General features: G+C 50.3%; 1 long non-coding RNA gene across 1 annotated transcript; it reads right to left on the bottom strand.

Annotated features, from left to right (window-relative positions):
- Window positions 1-2896: 2896 nt before the first annotated feature.
- On the bottom strand, window positions 2897-6568 carry LOC105372219 (uncharacterized). The gene is made up of 3 exons (XR_935670.1): window positions 6375-6568; window positions 4796-4866; window positions 2897-4276 (listed from the first exon to the last, which is right to left on the bottom strand). It is a non-coding gene; the product is annotated as an uncharacterized LOC105372219 (long non-coding RNA).
- Window positions 6569-12147: the final 5579 nt, after the last annotated feature.

Raw genomic sequence — 12147 nt, 5'->3', positions numbered from 1 at the left:
TTATCAATCATCTATCATCTATCTATCATCTATCATCTATCTATCATCTATCAATCACTTATCAATCATCTATCATCTATCTATCATCTATCAATAATCTATCAATCTATCTATCTATCATCTATCTGTTGATCTATCCATCTATCTATCTCATCTACCTAAGAGGATACTCTTCAAAGCAATGATTAACTTGGTTTGATGATTATCCATTATTCTTACGAGAGAGAGAAGTGGGACGAGGGTACAATAGATGTTGTTGTGATTCCATTTCATTTAAAATAACATCTTGTTTGGAGGAAACTATGATATTCAAAAAGTTTTTCAGTTGCAAAAGAAAAATATCTACTTCAACTGTATGCATTCTTTGTATTTACTGTGACCCTACAAGTTCAGAGATGGTAGTAACAGATATTTCATATTGTTTTGAGAGGCTGCTAAATGTGTGTATTTATGTGTGGTTATGTGTGTATCTGTGTGATTGTGTGCATATCTCTGTGTGTGTCTCTGTGTATATATCTGCATGTGTGTATCCCTGTGTTTGTGTGTGTGTCTGTCTCTACGTGCAAGTGTGTGTTTCTGTATGTACACATAGGTACCTGTGTGTATGTGTATCTGTGCCTATATTTTTGTGTATCTGTTTGTGCTCGTGTATCTGTGTGTGTATCTGTGTCTATCCCTGTGTGCTTGTGTGTATGTATCTGTGTGTGTGCATGTAGATGTATCTGTGTATATAATTATCTCCGTGTGTTCATGTGTGTATCTGTGTGTATTTCTGTGTGCACATGTGTATCTGTGTGTTTATCTGTGTGCATGTGTGTATCTACGAGTATGTGTATCTATCTGAGTATCTGTGTGTCTGTCTGCTTCTGTGTGCATGTATCTGTGTGTCTGTATCTGTGTATCTGTGTGTTTGTGTGCATATCCGTGTGTGTCTATCTCCCTGTGCATGTGTGTTTCTGTGTATGTTTGTATGTGCATCTATCTCTCCCGCTAACCTGTGTGTGTGGGACACAGGCTGTCAGATCAGCCCAGCACCCAGGCACAGATGCTGAACTCCAGCCAGAATGGAAGGACACGGCCCGGGAAGAAGAGCCACGAGGACGCCGCGGGTGTTCTGGGGAGACCGAGCTCAGCCACCTGTGGACGCGGCCTTGGGCTGGGTGCTTCCGCCCCCTCCTTCTGCAGATCTTGGGTGCTGGAGTTGTCTGGTTTTCTCTCATCCCCCACCCCCAGACTCTCTGAAAATTTGTGAATATAAAGGGGATTCCTGGAAACTGTTCTGCTCTTTGTCAAGATGAAGACAGCAGAGGAGAGATGGCCATGTCACCTGCGTCCCCTCGAGCCTTCCACTGCTCTAGAAAACACCCCTGGGCCACCAGGACTCCCTTTATCAATAGAATCCACCCAGCAAGCCTCAGGACATCCTCCCGACCCCACTAGCTTTGAGGCACACACAGGGAAGGTGGGCTCGGCTTTCATGTTGCAGACACAAGTGTGTCTGTGGCTGCACATTGTGGAGGGAACGTGAGTGCCCAATGCTCCCTGCCAAACAGTGGCAATGGGGAGCAGCTCTTCCCAAACTTACAGTTGGGGTTTGCCACTGTGCGTCTGCATCTATCTACCTGTGTCTGTCCACATCACCTCGGCCTACATCTGCACCTGTCTGTGTCCGCAGCCTCACCCCAACGCACACCCACATCTGCATCACCGGCCCGTGTCTGCAGCCACACCCACACAGATGCCCACGTCCACACCCACACCACGTGCCACCTGCATATCCACGTCCTGTCTGAACTTAGATCACCTCCACACACTTTCATCAGTGTCTGTACCACCCCCTTCTCTATCAGTACCCACATCCATCACACAAACGCCTGTGGGAGCCAGTGTCAGGCCACATCCTCGACGCTCTCTGGAGGAGCTGCCCTAAGTGTCCTGTGCGACAAACACTGCAATTATGAAATCTGTTAATAACCCAGGAGCCTTTCACTCAGGTGCAGAGGCAAGTGAATTGAGAGTGAAATTAAATTATGGAAACAGGTTATGACAGGTGCGATATTTTTCTTTTTACCAAGGGGGGATTTACTAAACGAATACTTTAGGAAAACAGAGGCTCAATTCATTAACATTTTCAGCCCACATTATTGGGGTGTCTCTAAGACACCCAATGAGATGTTCACTGTGGAACTGTTCTCAGGTTTCAGAAACTGAAAGCCGTTTCCCGCTTTCATCTCTGTCTGTATTGAAACGCCAGCTGAAAGCGTCATTTTAAATGTATCACTGATTTTGATTTTTTAATGGAAGTGTATTATGGTGTGGCTTAGAGTGATAATTGAGCTATTATTTCTATGAGGTGAGATGACAACAAAGACTTTCAACTCAGAAAGCTCTGCATTGGAGCCTTGGCTCTGCAGCTGTGCGGCCCGGCAGCTGGGAAGGCGTCTCCACCCACAACGCTGCTGGCATCGTCCTCCGGGAGCTGGAAGTGTGGCCATAGGTCCTTGTCTGGGTTGGACCAACCACCTAGTGTTTTCCTCTGTGCTAGATGATAAATCCAATATGGCAGAGATGATAGTGTATTTTCTGTGCCTCCTGGAGTGACTGGTGCCTAAGATTATGTAATTTATTTATTTATTAGAGACAGGACCTGGCTCTGTCCTCCAGGCTAGAATGCAGAATCACAGCTCACTGCAGCTTCAACTTCCTGGGCTTAAGCAATCCTTCTGCCTCAGCATCTGGAATAACTGGGACTACAGGCATTCACCAGTGCGCCTGGCTAGTTTTTTAATTTCTCATAGAGATGGGGTCTCACTTTGTTGTCCAGGCTGGTCACATATTCCTGGCCTCAAGCTATCCTCCCTCCTCAGCCTCCCAAAGTGCTGGCATTACAGGTATAAGCCACCATGCCCAGCCCAAGATTAAGTAATTTTTTGTGGAATAAATGAGTGGCCATTAACAAATGCTACTGAAAGGTTTTGAACTGGAGTGATGTGACGTGTCTGCATTTTAGGAACATGCTTCGGGCCCAGGGAAAAGACTGGATGGGGAGGTTGAGGATGGTCCCCAGTGGCTGCTTGGGGTGGCCGGGAGGGCGGGAGAGATTTGCAGGTGGCTGGGTTAGTTGGGTTTGGAGACAAGAGCAGGAGGGAGCAGAAGAGTGACAGATGCTGTGGATTTCACAGTGGAGTGGCCAGGAGCATTGGCCACGGCAGGGGCTCTGAGAAACTTCACAGGAGAGACATGGAGTTTGTGCTCGGGTGCGTCTGAGGTGCTCCTGGGGTGTCCGAAGGCCGGTGACAGAAGGCAACAGTGATGGGCATTCAGGAGGTGAGTTTGGGTTGAAGATTCAGCTTGTAGATTCCCAGCCTTTGGTAGTTAGAGCTGTGAACAGGATGAGCTTCTGCACGAAGCCTGCTCCGTGGGATGAAGGCAGGGAACATGTTCTCCCGGGGCGACAAGATCCAGGTTCCTGGAGGGAGGAGGAGCTCTTCTGGGCTGGGCCGCAGCCCACCCTTGCCAGGAGCTCTGTTTGTTACCGGGCATCCTCCCTCTCCCACGCATCCTGCGGAGGGACCACCCTTCTCCAAAGCCCGTCTGTACCCCGTCTCTGCTGAGGAGATGTGCAGGCGCCTTCAGTGAGAACAGCCTCCTCCTTCTCTGCCTCAGCAGCACCCAGGCAGGAGGACCTCCCCACACCACGCTGCTTCAAGCTGGTACTCGCTTCCCTCCGGGAGTGACTGTGAGTTCCCTGTCCGTGCCCCTGGGAACGTGTGACAGCATCTCAATGGCTTTGATCTCACAAACGTTTTGGTCTCAACTATCTCTCCCCCAACCTGTGTGTGTGCGACACAGGCTGTCAGATCAGCCCCAGCACTGAGGCACAGATGCGGAACTCTGGCCAGAATGGAAGGACATGGCCTTACCAGTGGATGGTGAGTGGTTGCTGGATGAATTGATGTTTTGCAGTCAAGCTTTCCTCGTATGTGACGATTTCTGCCTGGTAGTGGAAGTCCTTAGAGAGGGGAGGCTCTGCCCTTGACCTTTCTGTATCCCCGAAGGGCTGTGCACAGAGTAGGTGCTCAATAGATGTGTGCTTACCTCCGTCGACCAATTCCTCTCTCAGCCTCTGGCGTTACTGAAACCCGTGGCCTGCTGAGAAGGAACAGAGAAATGTCTGTGCCCGTCAGTCATGGCCACCGTCAAAGTTGGCTGCTGAATTCCATGGTCATCACATTGTTTATGTTGTAAAGAGGATCTTCCAGGGCGGACCCTCAGGCTGAACAAAAATGAAATAGTGTGTCGTGTCATGAGCTATTCCTCATGATTATTTCCCCCGATTTGGAAGAGAAAGAGAACCTCATGTCTTCATGGACGAGCAACCATTTGATGCCTATTGAGTGCTTGTCATTGGGTTGGGAAGTTGCAAGAGTCCCTTCAAAAACAAGATCATGGCACAGACCAGGGCAGTGCATGAACCCCAACAGGGAAATCTAAGTAAACATCCCCGAGGGCTATGTTACGGGAAAATACAAAGACAGAAGGGAAAAAAAAACCTAAGTTTGAAAAGAGTTGGTGAAAAGAAGGAAAAGGTTACCGGCAGGGATCTGAAATAGACCAAATGTCCTAAGTGGTTTCACTTTAATCGCCCTTGCTGGGGAGAGGCCTGGCCCACGTCACTGTGAGACAACTCCCAGCCTCAGTTCTGGGATTAAATGGATAACGCCACATTCCTTCTCACACTTTCACGATTATTGCCACCTTTTTATGAGAATCAAGCTGTTAGTACCGGGCTTACCTCTGCTGGGGCAGCTTCCTGCAGGTCTCTTCCCAAGACAACCGTGTTCATCCAGTAGTTTTCCTTGTCCTCTGGTTTGAATAAAGTGGGCAAATAGAGTTGTCAATGACCCTTACCCATGACCTGAGAAGCCAAGGCATTTTAGCCGAGTGTTCCAGTCAACGTGGAAAATTCTCAGCTTGCTTGGACGCAGCCCACCATCCAGGAAGAACTGACAGGTTAGGGACACCTGTGCCCGTCTCTGTGTGTGTGCACGCATATGTGTGCACACGTCTGCATGTGTCTGTGCATCTCTGCATGTGTGCACATGCATGTCTGTGTGTTAAGGTATGACTGTGTGTGCCTGCATGTACATGTCTGTGCGTGTGCCCCTGTGTGTGTGTCTGTGGACATGTCTGTGTATGATGTGTGTGTCTGTGTTTCTGTTTGTGCAGGTGTGCACACACCTGTGTTTGTGCCTATGCATGTGTGTTTCTGTGTGTGCACACATCGGTGTGTTTGTGTACATGTGCATATCTGTGTGTTGTGTGTGCCTGTGTTTTTGTGAGTGCACGTATGTACACTTCTGTGTGTGTTTGCCCGTGTGCACGCATGCACGTCTGCCCTGTGGAGCTGGGGAGGTGTGGGGAGCTGCTTTACATGTGAAGGTCGCTCCCCATCTGGCTTCAGCAGCTGTTCCCCTGTGGAGGCGGTGGAAAGGCTTTAGGCAGCCTTTGACCTGGGGTGGGACTGAGCACACAGGACGAGGGTTTCTCCTTTGCACGATCTTTGTTTGAAGTGAATGTGCAGCGACAGGGACTCTGGGCACAATCGGGTAGGAGGCTCCCAGGCTCCCATCCCTGGAGAAGGTTCCTGCCAGCCCGGAACCCCTTGTTCTTCAGCATTGCAGACATGAGTTTTCTGTTTGCTCTCTCGTTCCCTGGCAATTCCCTGCCTTCTCCATTTCACGTTTGCAATTCCCACGTATTTAATAAGTGCTTTGCATTACGTTTAAATCCATGAGCAACATAGATAAGCTTGAGCCATATAAAATGGCTGATAACTACAAAAATAAGTTTCACGTGGTTCAGTCTAATATGTACTTACGCCTCATAATGGACTAAAACACAGTTTTAAACTGAGCAAAAGTCATTACTAGAAAGGAAACGGACAGTGAGCCATCGCCGCCCTCCTCGTACCCGAGTGCTCCAGCTCCCCCGCACGCGAGGCTGGCCTCGGGCTTACGGGGCCAGCGAGGGGCCTTTGTGCCGGCTCAGAGGTGCTCTCTGACCTCATCTTCGCTGCTGGGAAGCCACCTGTGGACCCCCAGGGTCTCTCGGCTCTGTCCCTTCTACAAACCCACACCCGCAGCGCTGTTCTCTGCCCTGCTGTGGGGGCAGGTTCCCTCCGGGAGAAAGGAGCAAGGTGGGCTCCGCGGCCCCATCAGGTCCTGCGGGCAACCGCGTGTGGGGTGTGCAGCAGATGGCCATCCTGGCTCTGTGGGCACAGCCTTGCGGCACGCGTCCTGCCTGCCTGGCTTGCACTTGTTCACATTAACCAGATGTTTGGGCAATTACTTCATTATTAGGGACTTACGCACCTCTTCACGTTTGCAAACAGCTACACAGAGGACCGATTCGTCCTTCTTCTAGTCACCCTTGACATAGGCGAGATCAGGGCAGGCCCTCTTAAAAACGGTGACATCTGTGGGCCATGTCCCTCCTCCAGAGGTGCCAGGTGACCCATACGCCTGGGCTGTTTGAGCACTTGAATCCCCTCAGCCCTGCTTCTGTCTCTGTGCCTCCCCTCTCTCCCTCCCCACCTTCTCTCTCTCCCTCTCTCATTCTCTCTCTCTCTCTCTCTCTCTCTCTCTCTCTCTCTCTCTCCGTCTCTCCCTCTCCCATGCCCTCTGCCCCCGTCCCTGTCTCCCGTCTGGCTCTCCCATGGATACTCAAGCTCAGGCCCCAGATCTGCTTGATTGAAATGTGCTTATCCTTTTGGACAGTAGGAGTGTCCCCGGGCTGCTGTAGCAAAGTGCCACAAACTGGAGCTGAAAACGACAGGTGTTTGTTCTCTCCTAATTCTGGAGGCCACGTGATCAAGGTATGGGCAGCCATGCTCCCTGTGACAGATTGGGGTCCTTCACCGAGGCCACATATCCGAGATCAAGGTGTGGGCAGCTGTGCTCCCTGTGGAGGCTCGGGGTCCTTCCTGCCTCCTCCAGCTCCTGGCGCCACCGTGCTCCCTGTCGGCCCCTGCCTCCCTGCAATGTCCGCCTCCATCCTCACACTGCGGCTCCCCATAGGTCGCTGTGCTCAAACTTCCTTCTTCTTATAAGGACACCAGACACTGGAATTAGGACATCTACCAGGACCGTATTTCCAAATAAGCTCTCATTCACAGCTACTGGGGGTTAGGAATTCCATGTATCTTTTTGGGAGACAGAACTCAACCCAAAACATACAGCAAAATACAAAAGAATAGGAAATGTCAGTGGAGCCATTTGTGGAAAATGCCACTTGCTGCCCCTTCCAGCCCTGACGGCCCCGCTTCCGGGACAAGGCGGCGGGCTCTGCGCCTGAGGGCCCCGCTTCCGGGACAAGGCGCCGGGCTCTGCGCCTGAGGGCCCCGCTTCCGGGACAAGGCGCCGGGCTCTGCGCCTGAGGGCCCCGCTTCCGGGACAAGGCGCCGGGCTCTGCGCCTGAGGGCCCCGCTTCCGGGACAGGGCGCCGGGCTCTGTGCCTGAAGGCCCTGCTTCCGGGACAACGCGCCGGGCTCTGCGTCTGTCGCCCACAGCTTTAGCCCTCAGAACAGAGAGCCACAGCAGAAGGGTGGTCCCTCCTCAGGGCACAGCCCATGCCACAGCTCACCTGAGTATGTGCCTCCTGCCTGGTTCCCAGGAACCGCCAGCTCACTTCTCTACAGCCTGGTATCAAGTGGTGTTCATCCACAGGAGTTACCAGGAGAAGGATGGTTATCACGATTAACTTCATTAATAAATTCGGCCATCGGCTTCCCAGCCCTGAATGAAATGCTAGAGGGCTGACGTTCAGAAGAAGGCCTCTTAGAAAATGGACCATACCAGGAGGGTGGAGTTCGATTTATTTGCATATTTTTTATTAGGGACAAGTGACTGTGGCGTTCTGTCTGTTTAATGAGATCTAAAGTTTGGAATAATCCCTCACTGAACACGATGGAGGGCTGTTTCCACTTGGGATGAACTTCATAGACAAGCCACTTAGCAGACTGCAATATCACTCATTTTAAACTGGGGTTGGGCCAAGGGCGATGAGGTGCAGGTACAGCCACATGACCCGTCCTCTTTCCTCCAGGATAAAAGGAACGTGGTTCTTCAGTAACAGTGTCCAACATGAATATAAGGAATGAAAATCTTGTGGATTTCTGGGACTTTACAGAGTCCAACTTGGAAAACACTGGTTGTATTTTGTTGTTGAAACACTTGAATCCCATCATCAAAACATAAAGGTCTCCTGTTTTGTGGTATATCTATACACACACACACACCTGTGTGTATATACACATGTGTGTATGTATAAATACATGTGCATGTATCTATATGCATTGCTTCGTTTTTATCAGATTTCCATCTGCCATCGTGTGGTGAGGGTAAAGTCCACACATGGAGATGTAAACAGTGAAAACTCAGGATGGTCTTGGCAGAAGCTAGTGCAGTCATTCACAGCTAAGCTGCCTCTAGCCAAGGCATATCTTGAGCTCAGATCTACAAGGAAAACATAACATAATTCTGCTCTCTGATACAAATTCATTGCTCTCAGCCAGCCCTTGCCCTCGCCGCGCACCCCCCACCCCCACTTCTCTTTTGGGAATCTGGTGATCTAGTGTATTCTTGAAGCGAAGATTTATCTCACAGTAGAGGCAAAACGAGAAAACACATGTGTTTAAAGCCTTTTAAATGGAAAAACTATTTTCCTAAACACAAATGACACCGCTAAGATTACCTTGTTGCTAGTTCTCTCTATTAACCAGGTAATTTACTAAATTCTTTATACAGGACAGAGTCCCCAAAGGGAAAACAATATCTGGAAGGGGTCAATTTGACGTTATCAGCACGAAAATGTGATTTGTTTCAAGTCCCATACCAAATAGATGATCAGGATGTTTACCTGATACGTGGGGCTGCCCTCATCTCCCATGCCTGTGCTTTTATTCATAAAGGGAAACATTTTTAAAAGGGAGGTGGGCTGCGCCTAGGGAGGGGGCCACTCTCTTCTTATTGGCATTCCATCCTTTTACCTGTTTGACTTATTTGCTAAAAACGTCACAGAGTTCTGGTGTGATTACGTCCGAGGTCCCTCACTTTCGGCTTCTTTCTGGCGTGCTTTTTGGATTCTTGTCTCCCCTTCTAGAAAGGGCTTTGCTAGCAGGTTGGAAGGTTATTGTGCTGAATGTCTGCAGTCCTTTGAGGTGAAGGAAATCCTACTTCTACCTAAGGAGAATCTAGAGCAAGCTTGTCCAATCCGCCACCCATGGGCCACATGAGGCCCGAAATGGCTTTGAATGTGGCCCAGCAGAAATTCGTAAACTTTCTTAAAACATTATGAGAATTCTGGGAGTTTTTTTTTAAGCTCATCAGCTATCGTTAGTGTTAGTGTATTTTATGTGCAGTCTAAGACAATTATTCTTCTTCTGATGTGGCCCAGGGAAGCTGAAAACCCGGACACCCCTGCTCTAGAGTGAAGAAAGCCGAAATGAGTGGCCAGGAGAGGCTGGGCGAGCTGAGGGTGAGGTGTTGCTCAGGGCTGTGAGCGCACAGGCACCATCCCAGCCGCATCTTGGCCTGGCTCGTCTGTGTCTTTCCCGTTGGAAATAGGGCTGTGGCAGGTTTCCGAGGGCCTCCCCAAGCACGAGACTGTCACCCAGGGCAGATGCTCTGAGCCAGAAGGGAATGTGGCACTTTAAACCACCATGTGCTCTCTCCGGCACGCGGGAGTTCACGCGCCTAAGCTTGTTGCTTGCTTATTCAAACTTGATGATGTCTCAGGGAAACCGGAGCTCTCTAAGTCAACTTGATGAATCTTTCTTGTCCCTGTGGTCATCGTTGGCATGAAGAGACACTTGTGACGATGTTTCCCAGCATTCTTGGCGCTTTCTGAGAGTCACAGTCCCCGCCTGCCTTTCTGGGCTTTTCTCCCTCCTCTCTTGCGGTGGCCACACAATGCCTCCTGGCCAGGACAGACCTGGGCTTCCCCTCAGGGTGGCATCCAGCCTCTCTCCTGCCTGCACCACCTCCTCCACATCTTTCCTGCAAAGGCTGTGGTTGCCTGGTGGTGTCCACTTCCAGGGAGCGTCTGCATGCCTGGCTCCTCACGGCCGTCGCTTTGAATCCTCTCAAAGACATCATCGACCAGGTCAACTAGTCTTCAGGCCCTAGTAGTGGCAGTGGTAGGCTGAGTATGTCTTTCCTTGGGCCCCTGGGTAGTGTCTGCTGACCCACTGTTAGTAGATCTAGATAGGCTGACTCTTGCGGTAGTGTCTGCTGACCCACTGTTAGTAGGTCTAGATAGGCTGATTCTTGGGGTAGTGTCTGCTGACCCACTGTTAGTAGATCTAGATAGGCTGATTCTTGGGGTAGTGTCTGCTGACCCACTGTTAGTAGAACTAGATAGGCTGATTCTTGGGGTAGTGTCTGCTGACCCACTGTTAGTAGGTCTAGATAGGCTGATTCTTGGGGTAGTGTCTGCTGACCCACTGTTAGTAGGTCTAGATAGGCTGATTCTTGGGGTAGTGTCTGCTGACCCACTGTTAGTAGAACTAGATAGGCTGATTCTTGGGGTAGTGTCTGCTGACCCACTGTTAGTAGGTCTAGATAGGCTGATTCTTGGGGTAGTGTCTGCTGACCCACTGTTAGTAGATCTAGATAGGCTGATTCTTGGGGTAGTGTCTGCTGACCCACTGTTAGTAGGTCTAGATAGGCTGACTCTTGCGGTAGTGTCTGCTGACCCACTGTTAGTAGGTCTAGATAGGCTGACTCTTGGGGCAGTGTCTGCTGACCCACTGTTAGTAGGTCTAGATAGGCTGATTCTTGGGGCAGTGTCTGCTGACCCACTGTTAGTAGGTCTAGATAGGCTGATTCTTGGGGTAGTGTCTGCTGACCCACTGTTAGTAGGTCTAGATAGGCTGACTCTTGCGGTAGTGTCTGCTGACCCACTGTTAGTAGGTCTAGATAGGCTGACTCTTGGGGCAGTGTCTGCTGACCCACTGTTAGTAGGTCTAAATAGGCTGACTCTTGGGGCAGTGTCTGCTGACCCACTGTTAGTAGGTCTAAATAGGCTGACTCTTGGGGCAGTGTCTGCTGACCCACTGTTAGTAGGTCTAGATAGGCTGACTCTTGGGGCAGTGTCTGCTGACCCACTGTTAGTAGGTCTAAATAGGTTGATTCTTGGGGCAGTGTCTGCTGACCCACTGTTAGTAGGTCTAGATAGGCTGACTCTTGGGGTAGTGTCTGCTGACCCACTGTTAGTAGGTCTAGATAGGCTGACTCTTGCGGTAGTGTCTGCTGACCCACTGTTAGTAGGTCTAGATAGGCTGACTCTTGGGGCAGTGTCTGCTGACCCACTGTTAGTAGGTCTAGATAGGCTGATTCTTGGGGCAGTGTCTGCTGACCCACTGTTAGTAGGTCTAGATAGGCTGATTCTTGGGGCAGTGTCTGCTGACCCACTGTTAGTAGGTCTAGATAGGCTGATTCTTGGGGTAGTGTCTGCTGACCCACTGTTAGTAGGTCTAGATAGGCTGATGCTTGGGGTAGTGTCTGCTGACCCACTGTTAGTAGAACTAGATAGGCTGATTCTTGGGGTAGTGTCTGCTGACCCACTGTTAGTAGATCTAGATAGGCTGATACTTGGGGTAGTGTCTGCTGACCCACTGTTAGTAGATCTAGATAGGCTGACTCTTGGGGTAGTGTCTGCTGACCCACTGTTAGTAGGTCTAGATAGGCTGACTCTTGCGGTAGTGTCTGCTGACCCACTGTTAGTAGGTCTAGATAGGCTGACTCTTGCGGTAGTGTCTGCTGACCCACTGTTAGTAGGTCTAGATAGGCTGACTCTTGGGGCAGTGTCTGCTGACCCACTGTTAGTAGGTCTAGATAGGCTGATTCTTGGGGCAGTGTCTGCTGACCCACTGTTAGTAGGTCTAGATAGGCTGATTCTTGGGGTAGTGTCTGCTGACCCACTGTTAGTAGAACTAGATAGGCTGATGCTTGGGGTAGTGTCTGCTGACCCACTGTTAGTAGATCTAGATAGGCTGATTCTTGGGGTAGTGTCTGCTGACCCACTGTTAGTAGGTCTAGATAGGCTGATTCTTGGGGTAGTGTGTGCTGACCCACTGTTAGTAGG

The sequence above is a fragment of the Homo sapiens genome, chromosome 18 (assembly GCF_000001405.40).
Source record: "Homo sapiens chromosome 18, GRCh38.p14 Primary Assembly".
NCBI lineage: Eukaryota > Metazoa > Chordata > Mammalia > Primates > Hominidae > Homo > Homo sapiens.
Note: the sequence above shows the minus strand (reverse complement) of the source record. Positions and strands in the feature narration are given on the sequence as shown.